The sequence below is a fragment of the Homo sapiens genome, chromosome 1 (genome assembly GCF_000001405.40).
Source record: "Homo sapiens chromosome 1, GRCh38.p14 Primary Assembly".
In the NCBI taxonomy this organism is placed as follows: Eukaryota; Metazoa; Chordata; class Mammalia; order Primates; family Hominidae; genus Homo; species Homo sapiens.
Window position 1 is genome coordinate 87,436,743 of NC_000001.11, and position 19,037 is coordinate 87,455,779.

The 19,037-nt window shown below is 41.1% G+C and overlaps 1 long non-coding RNA gene and 1 pseudogene across 1 annotated transcript, besides 1 other annotated feature; one reads left to right on the forward strand and one right to left on the reverse strand.

The window, feature by feature from the left end:
* Positions 1-3,961: 3,961 nt before the first annotated feature.
* LOC105378834 (uncharacterized) lies at positions 3,962-18,284 on the forward strand. The gene is made up of 4 exons (XR_947565.3): positions 3,962-4,749; positions 9,705-9,807; positions 12,492-12,603; positions 14,037-18,284. It is a non-coding gene; the product is annotated as an uncharacterized LOC105378834 (long non-coding RNA).
* Positions 12,851-13,230: an enhancer, noted in NCBI's record as "active region_1288". NCBI's record gives its function as "activates an Ori minimal core promoter by ATAC-STARR-seq in GM12878 lymphoblastoid cells {active_cell/tissue: GM12878}" and the evidence as "EXISTENCE:reporter gene assay evidence [ECO:0000049][PMID:35858748]".
* RNA5SP52 (RNA, 5S ribosomal pseudogene 52) lies at positions 16,498-16,631 on the reverse strand (annotated as a pseudogene).
* Positions 18,285-19,037: the final 753 nt, after the last annotated feature.

Sequence of the window (19,037 nt, forward strand, 5' to 3'; positions counted from 1 at the left end):
TTTTTAGGGGAGGTTGCCTCTGGGTCAGTTTCCTTTGCTGTGACAAAGGCTTCTTAGTAGGAGGAATGGCTTGGCCCTAGAAGCTGGTTAAGGGCTACAGATTGAGTGAGTCCTATTTGGAACAGGGATGGGCCTAACAGTATTCTTTGCCATCTTAAGGTCCGGGAACTTAAGAATAGCAAACCTGGACTACCCTGTCAAAAAGTCATGCTCAGTCGGGCCTGATGGGGTGCTCCTGTAGTCCCAGCTACTCTGCAGGCTGTGGTGGGTGAATCGGTGGAGCCCAGGAGTTCAAGTCCAGGTTGTGCAACATAGCAAGACCTTGTCTCAAAAAAAAAAAAAAAAAAAAAAAAAAAGTCATGTTCAATGGAAGATGTTAATAATAGAGGAAACTGTGGGAGTAGGGGTAGGGTAGGGAGAGGGTATATGGGAACTCTTCGTACTTTCCGCCTAAGTTTCCTGTAAACCTAAAACAACTCTAAAAGGTAGTCTATTATTAAAAACAAAAGCAAGTCAGGCTCACCCATGGCTCTGAGATGTGAGGGGCCAAGATTTATTTTTAAAAGACTTTTCTTCTTCTCCGTAAGAAGTTGAACACCAGGAAGCACTGAGATTTGGAGGGCTACACCCACCATAGGGAATTAGAAAGAAAACAGTCCCCTGGCTGCCTTCATTGGTGGCATTCCATTCATGTGGAAAGTGAGACATGACCCAACTGATGGGACCTCTAGGTTTAGCACCACTTGAGCTTTTGTCTGACCCTGAAATAAACAATACATCTACTCTTTAGTTTGGCATTGCATGCGTCAACTTGTTACTTAAATATTTTACCTTCAACTGCTTAACTTTATATAGGTCAGCCTCAGTGTTGCTGCAAATAATTTTTGCTAAAAATAATAAACAGTTTTGGAAATAGATTATATCTAAAACAAATAAGTTTAATGTAGAATAATACATCTTAGGGCTAGTCGGGACTTCAGTTATCATTTGGTGCAAATTTTGCCTGCTCTTAAATAGGCATGAAAGAGTTAAATAATGCAGCCCCAGCAAGGCAGGTAGTAGAAGTTTTTTAATCCCAGCTGCTGCCTCCGGGGGTAAGAGGAAGAGATATTTGATAGTCCAAAGCAGAAAGTAAATATAGAGTAAATTACTTCCACATAATTGGGGAGATTATTTCAAGTAGATTGCAACTTGGAAATGGATGGCTTCTTTTCAAAACCTAGGGTGACCTGTAAATTTCCCATCCTGGTTTCAAGGTGGCACCAAGGGAAGGAGCAAGTCCTGGCTTTCAAGGGCAGCTATAGCTGATATATTTAGTAAAGTGAAAGCTAACATCTTTAGTATTTGCATTACTCAGATCCGTGCAGTAGTTAATAGGAACAGAAATAGAAAGAGACATAGAAATGTGGCCAACAGAAAGACACTACCTTAAATGTTTGAGCTGTAAACTTTGGTAGATGGAAAACAGAAAACTTTTTGCAATTAATATAATTGCCCTTGCTCAAGGAAATAGTCAATTTGATTTGAAATGGGGTGGAAAAGCCTGGGAAGGGATCTGTGTGAGACACCTAAAAGAATTAGTGTACATTTTTCCACATAGTGGGCCAATTTTCCCATTCTTTGGTTTTAGTGCTCCCTTTTATAGTCAGTATGACCATGCACCAATACTATTTCCAAGTGGTAGTCTTTCTAATATTTGTCTTCTCCTCTTTTTTTTTTTTTTTCAGACAGGGTCTCATTCTGTCAGCCAGGCTGGAGTGCAGTGGCACTATTATAGCTCACTGCAGCCTCAAACGCCTGGGCTCAGGCAGTCTTCCCACCTCTGCCTCCTGAGTAGTTGGGACTACAGGCATGTGCCACCAAGCCCAGCTAATTTTTAAGTTTTAAATTTTTTGTAGAGATGGGGGTCTTGCTATGTCACCCAGGCTGGTCTTGAACACCTGGCCTCAAGTGATCCTCCGGCCTCGCTCTCTCAAAGCTCTGGGATTACAGACATGAGCCACTGCACCTGGCTCTGTCTCCCCTTCCTATGTGTGTTGGCTCTAGAACAAGAGAAGCCTTGTTGAGATTCATGGCTGCCCCTTGCGCCCCATCACCTCTCTGACTTTGGGCAAGTTGCCTGGTCTCTCTCAGCCTTTATTTTCTTTTTGTGAAATGGGGATAATAATAGTACTTTCCTCATAGGCAAAATGTTGTGAGAACTAAATGAGAAAATACATGTAAAGCTCTTGGCACTTAGGTCTTTTTATGATTATGATGATAATCACACATAATAAATTATTTCCCACATCACATGCTGTTTAGCCTATTCACTGTTCTATTTTTCCTGAAGTCAGTTCAGTGTGTAGCATCCAGAATTGAATAAAACACACCAGTTGTGACCTGATAGTGCAAAGTAAACTATCATCTCCTTCATTCTAGGTTTTATGTTTCTATTAATGCAGTCTAAAGGTAGGATATGAGTTGTTTTTGTTTATGTATTTTTTTTTTTTTTTTTGCAGGGATGGGGAATGACTGTCTTCAATTAAACTGCTCAGTAAAATCTCTCCTCTTGTGTGTTGTGCTTTAGTATTTAGTTTTGGATACTAGTGCAGGATCTTAAATTTATCCCATTACATGTGATTTCTTTAGTGTTAGTTCCTTTTCAAACCTGTATAAGCCATTCATTCATTCATTTTAGAAAGTCAAACATATATTTATCATGAGCCAGCACAGTGCCAGTTATTTGCCATATTCTAAGATTTTAAACATTCATTGACATTTAAATTGTGCATGATTTCTATACCTTCATCTGAATTGTTGTGTAACATGTTTGGATAATACAGAGCTAAGGGCACAGGCTAAGAAATATCTTTAGAAACTTTCCTCTAGGCTCACCAGCACCCTTAGGTCACTGTCATTTAAATATTATGAATTCATCTTGTGTGGTATCATTTGGTACAAATTATTTTCCAACATGACCAGCAAAAAATCTTGAGACTTTCTCAGAATTCTTGTTCAAGTCAAGATTCACTATATCTTTCTAGTCACCTAACTCAGTATTCCTATCAAAACAAGATTAATTTGATATGATTTTTTTAAAAAAGTGAAATTAGGCTGGCTTGTTTCCTAATGGGCTCAGAGGACATATTCCCATTCCAGAACTTTGAAGAATTTAAGTGCAAACAGCACAGTGCCTAAAGCATGTCAGCTGTCTGTTTCGGATGCTCGTCCTACCACGTGTAGCATGGCAAAGACAGGAGTCAGAGATTGGGAAGTTTAGCTAGGTGAAAAAGTCTGCCCTAGGGCATGCCCTTCCCACTACTAGAGAGCAGTTGCTTTACATTTTATTTTACCTAGCTTTTTGTAAATATTTCTCCCTGGGTTACTTGTGATCTAGGGGCGTGGACTTACTCATCTCTTGTAATTCCAATCAGTGCATGACACATCATAACTGATCCTCGATTATTTTTTAAGTTAATGTACTCAAGGTTTATTTTTCAATCAAATGCCTAAGCTATTACAATTAAGGAGAGAGAATACTACCCCCTTTCAGTCCAGGAGTATGGCAAATGGAGATGTCTATAGGTATTAGGACATACCTAGAAACTTTTAGAAAAGCATTGGAGGAATGCCTCCTCAAACTGTATGAAACTCCAGTGATTAGCAATGGAGTCTGATGAATGAGAGGCAGTACAATGCCTTTCTCAAAATATTGGGAAATTCGTGATCTTTTTCTCTCCTTTATCATTCCTAGGGTTTTGGAAATCTGGATTGTAGTGGGGCATTGTATGTTAAAAAATCATCTTCCCATTCTGATCTTTGCAAAGATTTTTCTGTTCCTTAAATTTGTTCAGGTTAAGAGATTGCAGATTGCTTCTGTGGACTTATTGAAGGTAAGTATTATCTCTTGATATTTGTATCTCCAGTGTCTGGCACAATGCTTGGCAGTGAGGAGGAACCCAATAAATGTTTGTTGGATGAATAAGTAATATTTGTGAAAGTGTTTTGTAGACTGTGAAACTTTGCACAAATGAAAGATCACAAGGATGATTGCTTACGAAGCTCAGAAATTGAAGTGGAACTCTTTTCTTAATGTAACACACACATACACATTACACACATTTTCTCTTTGAATAGTGGCTGCATTGTTTTTAATGGAACACTGGGCTACTTTTAAACATTGAAATCAAAATGTACATGCCCACTTTTTATTAGTAGTTGCTCCATTTGCTCTTCCAGCTTTGGCTCGAAAACATCTGCTTGTATGCTTAGTATCACTGTCCTTGCTTACCCCCATCCCTTGCCTTCTCACCCATCTTTAGTCTGCCATATGGTCTTGACATAGATTTTCAACTGTTAGACTGTCAGGCTTTCAAGGATGCATTTTAAGAAATCAGTTTCTTTGAAAGCACTTGAACCAGAAGTCAAATGGCATGATGTAAACCAATAGTTTTTCAATGAAGAAATGAAAACCCTCAATAATTACAAATAAGGAATGTAACCTATTGACACCAATTTGGTTACACTGTATTGATTCCTACAAAAATATTATGAGAGAGTAGGCTACTTATACTCTACTGATCAGATTACAAGTATACTTAGTAAAGACAGAAATAGTATAGGCATAAAAGAGTTTACCTTAAAATGTCACCTGATGTTAGTTGTCCCTCACTGATTCAAGTAATTTCCATTATTCAGGTGGATCTGGCTGTTGGTGGAGATCCCTAGACTGCATGGGGCCATGGGCATGATCTGGAGACACAGTAGGTGAGTCCAGCATGTCAAGGGCAGATGACAATGAATGGAAAAACCTGGTCTTGCTACTTTCTCAGTAACAGTGACTAGCAGTGTGTATGAAGAGATCAAAATTCTAAAAGTTCCCACAAATTTCTCAGTTTCCTATTTAGGGCTTCAGGTCTTTGGAGATATCTTCCAGATATGGTCTTTGTCTGTTTTCCTTATTCTTCTGTGAACTGGTATAAATGAAGGTGGGTTGGGTGGGGTGGGTGGGGCTCTGAGGCCTTCCATTTCATCTGAGCTAGATGTGCCAGGAGGAGGCCCCTGAGAAGCTCAGGCAGTTCCACATATGTCAGCTTCCGCACAGCTCAGCAGGACTTGACAATGATTGCACTGTGTGGCTTTCATCCTTCTGGGCAATTGGCAAATCCAAAATTTCTAGGTAGAGGGGTTTAGGGTGGCATTCTGGAGAGGAAGAAGGATCAAGGGCATTGTCTTGAAGCTGCTTTGCCTAACAAGCACCATTTTTAAACTTAGCTTTAATGCTTATTTTGACATATCTTGGAGTTAAGTACATGGAAATTTTGGAGAGGAACCCTAAGGAAACTCCAAGTCACCCCTGGGTATTGCCAATAGAACCCAAGTGTGGTAAACACTTCAAAGCCTCCATAGTGTTGTATGAAGCATGGAATCCCTCTTTTGAGGGTCTGAATTCACCCTCCAGGGAAATGTTTTTCAAAGCGTTGTCCTACTGAACCATGCAATCAAGAGTCAGGATGGGGAGGACTTCTAGTGAAGGAGAGCCTTCACCTGTAATAAGCATCTTGGACAGAACTAATGCATAGTAAAATCTGAAACCACTATCCTTTGAAAGAACCTCAAGAGCTCTTATCCTTCTGATGTATGGAATTTCTTAATTTTTTATTCCTTTGTATCTCCCAGTGGTGTTTTGGAATATGAACACCTCCACTGGATTACTTTCCCCATTGTGACTATGAAGTCTGTATCTTTTTGAGTGAATCAAATTATCAAAGGGCATCCCTCAAAGCCTTTCATGCTGCATCTAATTACATTTATAGCACACGGTATTGGCAGTCCTTGGGCAAAATAAAAACATGACAACAATATTAATACCATATATCTGAATAATAGTCTACCATTCACAGTTACATAAATTAAATTGCATGGTTAAATTCATAGCAAATTCATAGTTAAATCATATCTCATCAATTTTTACAATGTGCTGTCAGGATAAGGCCATATTATTTCTATTTTACAGATGAGGAGTTTGAGACTCAGAGAAGGCAATGATGTATCTTAGGTCAGCTGACTAGTGTACACAGAGGAATTGGCGCTCAAGTCAGATCTTCCAACCCTAGTCCACAGATGCTAACTCATGCCATCAGATATTCTCCCGAGTGGCTTTCAGGGAGATTTGTTGATGTCAAATCACCTGAGTTCTGACATTTGTAGTCCCTTTGGGAAAATCTCCATTTAGATTGCCATGGACATCCACTTGATGAGTGACAGTTTTCTCCAAGGGAAGATGCTTCTTAGTTGGTCTTGCTCCGCCCTTACCTGCCAGCTTTACCCTAGGCCTCAACATTCTTGATACAGAGCACATCCTCTCCTACCTTGCTTGCCACTGTATTGCTCATATCAGGGAGGGTGTAACTCTAAAATTTCACAAAAATCCTTTTTCTCATATCTGATTATGCCGTGTCTATAGACACTCTGTAGACATGTTGTCTTTCTACTTCTTTGTTTCAATCGTCTTGATTTAATCCCTGTGAGCTCATATTCCTTCATTAATGTCATCAAATTAAAAGAGGAAAAGGGATTTTGGAGGCTTATGCTGGATTTCCCAAAGACAGGCACAATAGTGGTCCACTCAGGATCTGCTGTGCCCTTCCTGTGGCAGGGACACACTATCAGGGAATGCAGCCTGCAATAACTAGACCCCCCTCATTGTCACATAGGTCTCCCTTTTGTTCAGCTAAAATTTTCAGCTTTTACCTTCCACACATTGGTCCTTGCCTTGTCCCTTCTTCGTGTGAAAGTTTTCCAAATATATGAGCCAGTCATCATGTAGCATTAAAGTTGTATAACTGGAAGTTGTTGTGTTCTGAACCATGTCTCCCCAGATTCATATGTTGAATTCCCAACCCCCAGTGCCTCAGAATGTGACTGTATTTAGAAACGGGTTTGCATTAGTTCGTTTTCACACTGCTATAAAGAATATCTGAGACTGGATAATTTATGAAGAAAAGAGGTTTAATTCATTCACAGTTCTGCAGGCTGTACAGGAAACATGGCTGGGGAGGCTTTAGAAAACTTACAATCGTGGTGGAAGGTGAAGAAGCAGACACATCTTTGTGTGGCTGGCAGGAAAGAGAGAGAGCAAAGGGGGAGGTGCTACACACTTTCAAACAACCGGATCTTGTGAGAACTCTATCATGAGAACAGCAAGGGGAAAGTCAACCCCCATGATTCAGTCACTTCCCACCAGGCCCCTCCTCCAACACTGGGAATTATAATTAGACATGAGATTTGGGTGGGGACACAGAACCAAACTATTTTATTCTGCCCCTGACACCTCCCAAATCTCATGTCCTTCTTACATTTCAAAACACAATCATGCCTTCCCAACAGTCCCCCAAAGTCTTAATTCATTCTGTCATTAACTCAAAACTCCATGTCCAAATATTCATCTGAGACAAGGTTAAGTCCCTTCCAAATATAAGCCTGCAAAATCAAAAACAAGTTAGTTACTTCCTAGATACAATGGAGGGTACAGGCATTGGGTAGATGCTCCCATTCTGAAAGGGAGAAATCAGCCAAAACATAAAGGATACAGGCCCTATGCAAGTCTGAAACCCCGCAAGTCAGTCATTAAATCTTAAAGCTCCAAAATAATGGAGCTTAAAGCTGTTGGTGGATTTACCATTCTGAATCTGGAGGATGGTGGCCCTCTCCTCAAAGCTCCATTAGGCAATTCCCTAGTGGGAACTTCGTGTGGAGGTTCCAAGACCATATTTCCCCTCCATACTGCACCAGTAGAGGTTCTCCATAAAGGCTCCGCCCCTGCAGCAGTCTTCTGCTTGGACATTCAGGCATTTCCATACATCTTCTGAAATCTAGGTGGAGGCTCCCAAGCCTCAACTCTTGCCCTCTGTGTACTCACAGGCTTAATACCACATGGAAGCCGTGAGGCTTGCAACTTTCACACTCTGGAGCAGTGGCCTAAGACATATCTGGGGCCCTTTGAACCATGGCTGGAGCTGGAGCAGCTGGGATGCAGGGAGCCATGTCCTGAGGCTGCACAGAGTAGCAGGGCCCTGGGCCTGACCCATGAAACCATATAACCCCCCTATGCTTCCAGACCTGTGATAGGAGGGGCAGCTGCAAAGGTCTCTGAAATGCCTTGGAGGCATTTCCCCATTGTCTTGGCTATTAGCCTTTGGCTCCTCTTTACTTATGCAAATTTCTGCAGCTGGCTTGAATTTCTCCCCATAAAATGGGTTTTTCTTTTCTACCACATGGCCAGGGTGTAAATTTTCCAAACTTTTATGCTCTGCTTCCCTTTTAAATGTAAGTTCCAGTATCAAATTATCTCTTTGTGCATGCATATGAGTGTATGCTGTTAGATGCAGCCAGGCCACATCTTGAATGCTTTGCTGCTTAGAAATTTCTTTTGCCAGATACCCTAAATCATGTCTTTCAAGTTCAAAGTTCCACAGATCTCTAGCACAGGGGCACAATGCCACTAGTCCCTTTGCTAAAGCATAGCAAGAATGACCTTTACTTCAGTTCCCAGTAAGTTCCTCATCTCCATCTGAGACCAGCTTGGCTATCTCTGTCCATATTACTATCAGCAATTTTGTCAAAACCATTCAACAAGTTTCTAGGAAGTTTCAAACCTTCCCTCATCTTCCTGTCTTCTTCTGAGCCCTCCAAACTGCTCCAACCTTTGTCCATTACTCAGTTCCAAAGCAGCTTCCACATTTTCAGGTTTCATTATAGTAATGCCCCACTATTTGGTACAAATTTTCTGTATTAGTCCCTTCTCACACTGCTATAAAGTCATACCTGAGACTGGGTAATTTATGAAGAAAAGATGTTTAATTGACTCACCATTCTGCAGGTTGTACCAGAAGCATGGCTGAGGAGGCCTTAAGTAACTTACAATCATGGCAGAAGGCAAAGGGGAAGCAGTTACATTTTCACATGGCCAACAGGAGAGAGAGAGAGCAAAGTGGGAGGTGCTACACACTTTCTGACAACCAGATCTGGTGAGAACTCTATCACGAGAACAGGAAGGGGGAAGTCCGCCCCCATGATTCAATCACCTCCCACCAGGCTCCTCCTTCAACACTGGGAATTACAATTCAACATGAGATTTGGATGGAGAAACAGAGCCAAACCATATTAGGGTCTTTAGGAGGTAATAAGTTAAAATGAAGTTATTTGGGTGGCCCATAATTCTACAGAACTGATGTCCTTGTAAGAAGGGGAAGAGACACCAGAAGTGCCAGCACAGAGGAAAGGTCATGTAAGGACATGGGGTAAAGACAGCCATCTACGAGCCAGGGAGAGAGGCCTCAGAAGAAACCAAAGCCATAAATGCCTTCTCTTGGACTTTCAGCCTCCAAAGCTGTGAGAAAATACATTTCTGTTGTTTAAGCCACCCAGTCAGTCTGTGGTACTTTGTTATGGCTGCCCTAGCTGATGAATTCAGAAGTCAAATGTATATGGCTTTGAAGCCACAGAGGAAGGTGAGATTATCTGGCCAGAGATCCAAGGTGAAAGGGGTGGAGAGCTTTGGGGTAAATCACTTTACAGAGTGGGTATAGGAAGAAGGGCCTGTGAACAACACAGAGAACAATCAAGAGAGAGCAGAGTTAAAGATGACAAGGGAAGAGAGAGTTCCTTGCTTCTTTTATTTTGGGTTCACATCTCTTAATCTTGTGTTCACTTTTGTCAAGGTCATCCTCAGAATTTACACTCTCTCTCCTTTTGTGCCCCCATGGACCAAGTTAAGAAGGTGTAGGCTTCCAATCTGAAGATTGGTCACCACAAAACTCAAAGGTAAGTGAAAGGGTTTATATTAGTGTCACTGAATCAAGGGCCAATCTCAAAATTTACTTGGGGATTTTTCAAAGTGCACATTTATGTGACATACACTATGAAATTTCATTTTAGTATAGATTTGTGGTGGGATACTACCATATATTTTGAAAACAAACAAACAAGCAAACAAAAAAATGTTCCCCAAACTCACAGAATCCCCAGGTGCTTCTGATATACACATTGACGGAGATAAACTAATCCAGATGAAAAGACAAATGAATTTTTTTCTACATGCCTGGAAATAATGTCAGATGATTATAGATTTCAAACTTCATGAAAAATTGAAATTTCACCCTTTTGTAGGGGGAATGTTTTGTTAATCTAGCATACACAGCCTACGTTTTCTATTCTTATTATTTTTAATAAAATTTTTTTCTTTTCTTTTTTTTCACAGGCAAGGTCTTTGTTGCTCAGGATGGAACGTAGTGGTGCCATAGCTCACTGTAACCTTGAATTTCTGGGCTACTGGCATACACCACCATGCTTGGCTAATTGTTTCTTATTTTTTGTAGTGACAGGGTCTTACTATGTTGCCCAGGCTGGTCTCAAATTCCTGACCTCGAGTGATTCTCCCACCTTAGCCTCCCAAAGTGTTAGGATTACAGGCATGAGCCACTTTGCCCAGTCTCCTTTTTTTTTTTTTTTTTTTTTTTTTGAGATGGAGTCTTGTTCTGCAGCCTAGGCTGGAACACGGTGGTGTCATCTCGGCTCACTGCAGCCTCCCGGGTTCAAGCGATTCTCCTGCTTCAACCCCCAGGTAACTGGGTCTACAGGCACCTACCACCACCCAGCTAATTTTTTGTTTGTTTGTTTTTGTTTTTGAGTCGAAGTCTCACTGTGTCACCCAGGCTGGAGTGCAATGGTTCAGTCTTGGCTCTCTGCTTCCTCCACTTCCCGGGCTCAAGCAATTCTCTTGCCTCAGCCTCCTGAGTAGCTGGGACCACAGGCACCAGCCACCACACCTGGCTAACTTTTGTATTTTGAGTAGAGATGGGGTTTCACCATGTTGGCCAGGCTGGTCTTGAACTCCTGACCTTGTGATACAACCGCCTTGGCTTCCCAAAGTGCTGGGATTACAGGCTTAAGCCACCATGCCCGGCCCACCAGCCTACTTTTAATGGTAATTTTGAAAATGACAGTTGACCTGGTAGCCTTTGGGGATGTTTGTGTTCCTCCTCCCAGCAGATTGCCTTCCTTGGGCAACAGGCACTGCTCCTCTCTCATGTGTCAGAAAATCAGTGTGAAACTAGCTATCAAAGCGTACAACCGTCTATCACGTTGACCATCACATTATTCTTTGTGACTTGGGAGAACTCCCCTGTTTTCTCAAATCTCTATCTGCTGAGAATTAGGAACCATTTCTATACAATAAAGAACTATTGCTCACCAGAAAGTATATTCTACTTTCTTGTGGAAGAAAACTTATGACATTGAACTTGACAAAAAGGCATTTTCACAAGCTCAAATAAAACCAGTTTTCTCCATCTCCCCTCCCGCCTCTGTTGGCTCAAGTAATGAGCAACTGAAGGATACCACACTGCAAAGGAGATGTTGGGCTTCAGGCTGAAGCAAATCTGGGCTAACCAGAGTTAATCAAATTCTTTATAAATAAAATGAATTGTGCCACGCTAACTTAGATGTTTCAGAGAAACACTAACATATTTTTTTTAACTGATTTCTTGAATTTTTAAAAAAACTACTGCTCCTTTCCTTTGGGTAAGTGAGGAGGCAATAGGGTCTTGAGAATCACCAGGACAGCCAGACTCTGTTAGTTTACTTTCAGGTGAATACATTAGGTTCTGGGTAGATAGGCAGAGCTACTATACACTGCGCCTAAAACATCACAATGGAGAGGTGTATGTGTGTTTGTTGCGGGTGGAGGGGCCTGGTCCTGAGATTTATCAAGCCTGCCTTATGGGTACTGACTTGACTGGTTCATCTACTTTAGGGACGATGAGAATATACTCCCCTGCCCCAAATTATATTTTATCCAGGTGCCATGGTGTCTGACACTCCATCTGTAATGGTTCATTCCTTTGGCTTTCTTTCCTGCTTTTAAAATGAACATTCTCTTGGTTTGTGCAAAACACTAAACTACTTTACAAAGGCAGATACGCTAATGTAGGAAACTGCTTTGTTTTCCTTTGGTTGAAAAGGACTAGTGGAGCTGCAGGAAGCTTGGAAGTTCATCAGTGGGAATGGAGGGAGGCTGCCAAGAAGGTGAGGGGAAGGGGAAGGGCCACAGACACAGATTTTGTCTACTTGGGAATTTTGAATGGGATTGACCCTACCACTCAGTAATAGTTAAAAATGAAACAAAACAAAAAACAAGGGTTTTGAGTGTTGTTTGAATCCAAGTGTACTATTTCAATAGTGGAACTGAGCAAGACTTATAAAGCTGGCATAGGGAAGGGTGATTAGGATTGCAAACATAAGCATGAGGTGTAAATCATGACATTTATTTTGGCATGGAAGCCAGATCATTGTTTGAGGAACACCTTTTGAAACCCAAATGTAGAGGGCAGAAAATGGTGTTGGCTTTTTACACTATTTCTCTCTTTTTGAGGTAAGTCAGAGAGTTGAGTTATGAAGCATTAAAAGATCATTTTTTTCCCACATTCAATTTTCTTCTTTGCACTTAGGGAAAACCTTTTAGGCCAAAGACCATCTGAAGTGGCCCTGGTTCCTCCATGTTTAACTCACTGGCCCCTAATTTCTGCTGGACCTTCATTTCAGTCGACTGTGTTTCAGGAGGTAAGTGATTCTGGTGACCTCACTGTAGGGAGACAGGAGCCTCTGGCAAGTTACCAAACTGCTGGCCTATTCTACATGAGCCAGGCTCTTTGCTTTGGCAGAGGAAAGCAGTGCTGTTTTAGGTCAACAGTCAAATGTGTCCCGGAAGTTGTTAAGTGCGTGGGGCATTCTAACCACTGCTGCTGGTGGAGAGACCTGGCTGTCGCCTGCATCTCACTTTCAGAATGTGGCCCTGATTAAGCTCCGCAGGTAGAGTTCTGGTTTCTAAGAAGGGTACAAGGCCTGAGGACATGCTGGTATTTCTTCCTCATGCTGCTGCTGAGGACACAGAGAAGGGTGTTCTGGCCAAATTAGCCAGTTATTGGTTCCCCAAATAACTTTGGTTTTAGACACCTGACTTGACTCTGTGAGTGAGTGGGAGGCTGTTTTCTCTGACTGGTTTTGCATCTTGGCTTTCATGTCTCTACATGAACATTCAGCCCACAAATTTCTGTTATCTAATCAGGCGCATCAGTCCGTGATGGAGATGAGAGGGGAGGAACACCCCTTTGACTCAGATTTTGCACAAACAAAATTCAGTCTTGTTAGCAATGGCAGGAAGAGTAGCCACGGCTGCTCAGATCAGATCTTTCCCTGACAATCTGCAGGGCAGTGCAAGTGGGTGAAGAGTTTTTATGGCAAGATAAGCAATGCAAGGGCCCCAACTTGGTATACTAAATAAAATTAAAATGTCAATATTTACACATGACCTTCAAGGCTCTTCCACTCTTGCTTTCTTAGTATTCAGTACAGACTGCATTTTCTTTAGTCCGTTACCAACAGCTTGGAAATTCAGTTAGAGGACATAACCCAAATGTTCTCCAAATGTTGCTTCCAAATGGTCATCTTGAAAAGTGCTGTTTTAAGGCATGCAACCTTTCTGCACCGAGAGAGGGCTGTCGCTCTGCCTACCCAACTGTAGGGGAATTATCCAAAGATTAAAACCACTGATGATAAAGATAGTGCCACACAGCATATTTTAATTTGTTGATAATGAAAGCACAAGAGGCCTTTTTACAGGCTTCTTGAAGCCTTACTATTGTGTGTTGCACATTCAACCCCAGCTTGTGTGCTGACACAAACAAATAAACGTGATCATAACGGTTGAAATGTAGTTAGAAACACAATTGAGAACATCTGTATTGTAAGCAGAAATACATTAGAAATACTGAAGTGTTTTGTAGCTGTGAAAATGAAGGAATAAAAAAATAACCCACAGTACCTGGATTAAGCAGTTATAAATAATGTATAAAGCAAAAATCTCATTACCCCCTGTGTAAACTCCCCCCCAATGAAATATATTTTATGAATGTAGTAACACTGTAATAACCAAAGCATTTGTTTTTCCCCACAAACTTTCCATTTCATAACTGTGAGATTGTTTGGATTTACAGATTCGGGCCACAACACCCCTGAGTTTACCGGTTTTGGTTTCTTCCTTGTGACCTTCGGCTCCAGGATGCAGCACAGCTCCTCACTGCACTATTTATCAGAATGTTGCTCTGCATGCTTGAAAGTTTCCCCAAACAGAGGTACATAAAAACAAACAGAGGCGAAACACAAATCCCATCAGCCCTGGAGGAAAAGGCCCTGAAGCTCTTCCAGTGCAGAGGCCACGCAGAGGACAGGCTCCTACCTGTGCACATCAGCCACGCCTGGGGCGCCTCCTGGAGTCCAGGCTGCTGGCAATGGAATTCATCATGTTGCTGATGTCACTGTAAGTTAAGTCGCAGCTGCCAGCTGAGCTATGGGACAGTTTGAGGGATGGCCAGAAGGTTTCTCCTGGATGCCATCTTCAGCATACCTAGGAACCAGAGAAAATGCAATTCTTCGCATGCCCATCTCACTCCTGCAGCCTGGGGTCCCTCTTCAGTTTATTTTTTTATTTTTTTATTTTTTTATCATAAGCACATAGTCAGGCTCTGGGACATCATGGAACCCAGCAGCCTGCTGAAAGGTGAAGCACAAGTCTAAAGTCCTGTTAGTTATGAAATCCAGCTCTCCTGGATTAGGCAAGGGGAAAACCACATCTTTAAGATACACTAGGGCAAGAAGTAAAGTATGGAGAGCTGGCTCAACGAAATTTTGTGTATAATAGGAGCCGTCCTATGACTAATTGTCACCTGTCTCAGAGACCTCATGATTATTTCTGAGCTTTAACCAATGAATTAATGTGGGTTCTACCTGGCTCTTCTAACGTCTTTGGAATGGTTCCTCAGGGAACCACAGCTATCCATAGAGATAACAACCTGAATACAAGCCCATCGCCCGATCAGATGCTGCTCTTACTTGCATGACTTGGTTCTATTCTTGCCCAGTCCCACTGGGATAGCAGTGGTAGCTAAACAGCTAAGCAGAGTGACCTCATTAGATTCTCCTCTAGTATAAAGTCACATGTTAACTCATTTTTGGACTCATAGTCAGAAACTTGTAATTTTTCCTCATTTTGGTATGCAGCTATTGCACAGTGGGGGAAATATGAGTCAAAAGACTTGCTCTTATATTCCATCTTCCCCCTCATTGCCTGGGTGTCTTTGGACCAGTTAATCTTTGAGCCTCAGTTATCTAGAAAATGGGGACACTGCTACTTTATATATTTTTTTTTAGTGGGACCTAGATAAGGTAATATAAATAAAGGGGCTTTATTTATATATTGAATGGCATGATGTTAGGATTACCAAAAGGAAATAGCTATTCTACTTACATTACAATGTGGTTTGAGGATCAAATTCAATAAAATATGTGAAGAGGGCTTTGAAAACTAGAAAGAGCTAAGCAATGCAAAATGCGTCGCTGCACTTGAATGTAATGGCTGGTGTCATGTCAGCTGGATTAACTGTGGTCACTAGTTCTCATATATCCATTTGCTAGAGTAGCTGAGTCCTCTGGACTACGAAAAAGGGCACAGAAGCTACAGATACGAGATCTGGTACTATCTTTATCACTACCTTTTTATTGTGAGCACCTCAATCATTTTGAGATATTTGTCTCATTTCTTTTACTTTGAATATGCAAAAACAACAGTCACCTCCTAATATGGCTGTTGGGAAAACACAACTGAAATGGATTCAGAAAATAGCTTTTAAGGACAAAGTTATGTGAAGGACATAAATTGTGCATGAAGTCTTTCAGCAATGAATAGGCACATCTCCACATACCCCAGGATCTTAAGCTGATAATGTAACAACAAGAACCTATTGAATCAGGACAAGGTGATGGTTCTGCTCCTGTGGCAATCTAGGTCTCAGAATCTGGTATGCAGGCAGGGTGTAGAGAGCAGATTGCATTTTCAGGAGAAAGGTTAAGCTTGAATGTTTTGGACAGGAGGTGGTTAGATGCATTTTTAAAAAGTCCTTGAATTTACCTGATGATTTTTGTGTCCTTGTGATGGTTGTAGCCCATTCCAGGATATGAATAAATTTAGCAACACAAAGGAGGTCATTTAAAAATCTTTCCCTCAGATGCTCCACTTCCTCTTCCTTCTAGCTTTCTCCTCTTCTTCACTAATTTGGCAACCTGCAAGGCTGCCCTTTTGATCACTGGCAGTTTAGAATAGTGATAAGTGGTTTTGGAAAATGTTATTGAAACTTTTATAGGAGAGTGGTGGAAAGATGGAGATTTCTAGAAAACCCTTAATAGAAGAGATCCATTTTACTTAATTATTTATTTATTTTTAGTTTTAAAACATTATTTTATTTTGAATTAATTTTAGACTTTAAGAAATTGCAAAAATACTAGAAAGTGTTACTTTAATCCCTCACCCTGCTTCTGCTTATGTTGACTGTCTCTCATCATCTTAATATGATTATCAAGAATAGGAAATTGATGTTGGTACAATATTTTTAACTAAGCTACAGACTGCATCTGATATTCACCAGTTTTCCTGCAGATATCATTTTTCTGCCATCCGAGTACTAACCAGACCCGACCCTGCTTAGCTTCCAAGATCAGACAAGATTGGGTGTGTTCAGGGTGGTATGGCTAGAGACCCAAATATCATTTTTCTGTCTCAGGAGCCTATCCAGGACCCCACATTGTATTGAGTTGTATTTCTCCCTAGTTGACTCCAATCTGTGACAGTTCCCTGGTCTTTCCTTGTCCTTCATAACTTTGGCACTTTTCGAAGGATACTGATTGTTACCAGTGGAAGGTATCCGAGTTACCAGCGGCAAATCCATACGGGTCTGCAGCAACCTCAATTCTTGCCCCCTCAAAAGAAATAATTTGACTGAGGGGCATAAAGCAGAAAAAGAGATCAAGGCAACTTTCAGAGTAGGAGTGGGAGTTTATTTAAAAAGACTTTAGAAAAGGAAAGAAAAGAAAGTACGCTTGGAAGAGACCCAAGTGGGCATGTGAAGGTCAATTGTAGTGTTTAACCTTGATCCTAGGACTTTATAGGCTGGCCTCTTTCCCATGATTCTTCCTTTAAAGGGGGCTGCCCTCATGCACAGTGCCCTCCTTACCCTTGGGAGTTGAGCATGTGCACTGTGTTTAGGAAGTTGTATGCATGCCCATTGGAGGCTTTCTTCCCTTTTCTCATGGCATGACCCTGGAAGGCCATACTCTGCCATTTTATCTCCTAATGCACATGTCTGGGAAGTTGTGTTTCCCTGGTACCTACATTAAGTTCACACTTTAGTGCAACAGGTGCAGACAATCAGGAAATGGCCTCTCCCTGGCGCTGGCTGCCAATTTATCACTTTTAGAGAGGCAATGTGATAATTGCCAAACCATCACCTGACATTTTTAGTGGGTGGGGGAAGAGCCCTCTCCTGCCCTGCTTATGCCTGTCTACCTATAAATACACTGATGAGTAATTTGGTAGAATGTCCTTCATTTTAGGTTTGTCTAACGTTTTGTCATGATTAGAGTGAGGTTATGCCATTTTGGCAAGAATACCACAGAAATGATACTATATCCCTTTTCAGCACATCATGCCAAGGGATTCATGATGTTGATATGCCTTATTAATGGTGATATTTACTTTGAGCACTCCATTAGGTTAGTGTCTGCTGGTTTCTCCATTATAAAACCACCTTTGCAAAAATTATAACAGTGAGAAAATTATGACAGTGAAAGAGATCTGATCTAACCAACCCCCATCTTGCTTTTAACCTCCAAAATGCCTTACTCATTTCTGGGCTTAGGCCAAGTTAACTTTGGGAGAAGTTTAGTTTATAGTTTAACAGATTATATCCCTTCCTCAAAACTAAACCACCTTTGTGTAAAGCTGATGAAAGACCACCAGATTAGGAGGATGAAAGGAACCTGAATTCTGTTAACATGTAGATATAAATGATTACCAGCCATTATTCCAGAGGTCACAAGATTTGCAACTTCCCAATTACTCCTGCAGATAACATCACTATTGTAGAACCTAAGATTGGCCTTTTGAGATGACTTTTCAGATTTTTGTGTTTCTGAAAATGGATGGCTCCACCCAGACCCACCAACTGGTCCTGGCTCCACCCAGAAGTGGACTTAGCTTCTCATGAGGACCATTTTCCACACCCCTATGATTGCACCCCCAACCAATCAGCAGCACCCATTCCCTAGCCACCCCCCTCTCCTAAACTATCTTTGAAAAACCATAGTCTCCAAATTTTCAGGGTGGCTGATTTGCATAATAATAAAACTCTAGTCTCCTGTTTATCCAGTTCTATATGTGTAAAACTTTCTTTATTGAAATTCCCCTGTCTTGATAAATTGGCTCTCTCTGGAGAGCAGGCAGGAAGAACCCATTGGGTGGTTACAACTATACAGTTACTGTATTTCTCTTTGTAGCTGATAAGTGTTTTGAGGGAGATACTTCGAGTTTATTCAAATCCTGTTTATTGTTCTTGATTTTTTTTTTCCATAAAGGATCAGATACCTGTGTGTTTTCTTATATCTGATTTCTTACACAAAGAATCACATAACCCAAAATCACATCTTTTGGGTTTTGGGTTTTGTTGTTGTTTTTTTTCCGTTACTTAATATGTCATGGAAAGCACCCCATATCCACTCTAGAGACTTTCCCCATTGTTTTATACATTTGCATAGTACTCCATGTTATTGTACCAGCTTATTCAAGCACTCTTCCATGATGGGCATTTAAGTTGTTTCCAGTGTTTTGCAATTATAAACAATACATAATGAGTAAGTTTATGCGTATGCATTTTTGTATTGTCAGAGATACATACCCTAGAAGTGGGATTGCTAGGTGAAAAGGGAAATGCATGTGTACTTCGGTTAGATATTGCCTAATATCCCTCCAAAAGGATTGTACCAATTTGCATTTCTAACAGGGAAAGTGCCCATTTCCCCATAGCTTCACCAACAAGCCTTAACAACAGAATGTATTCTCATATTTGTTTTATTTTTGCCAATTCAATAAATGAGAAAGGGATTTCCTT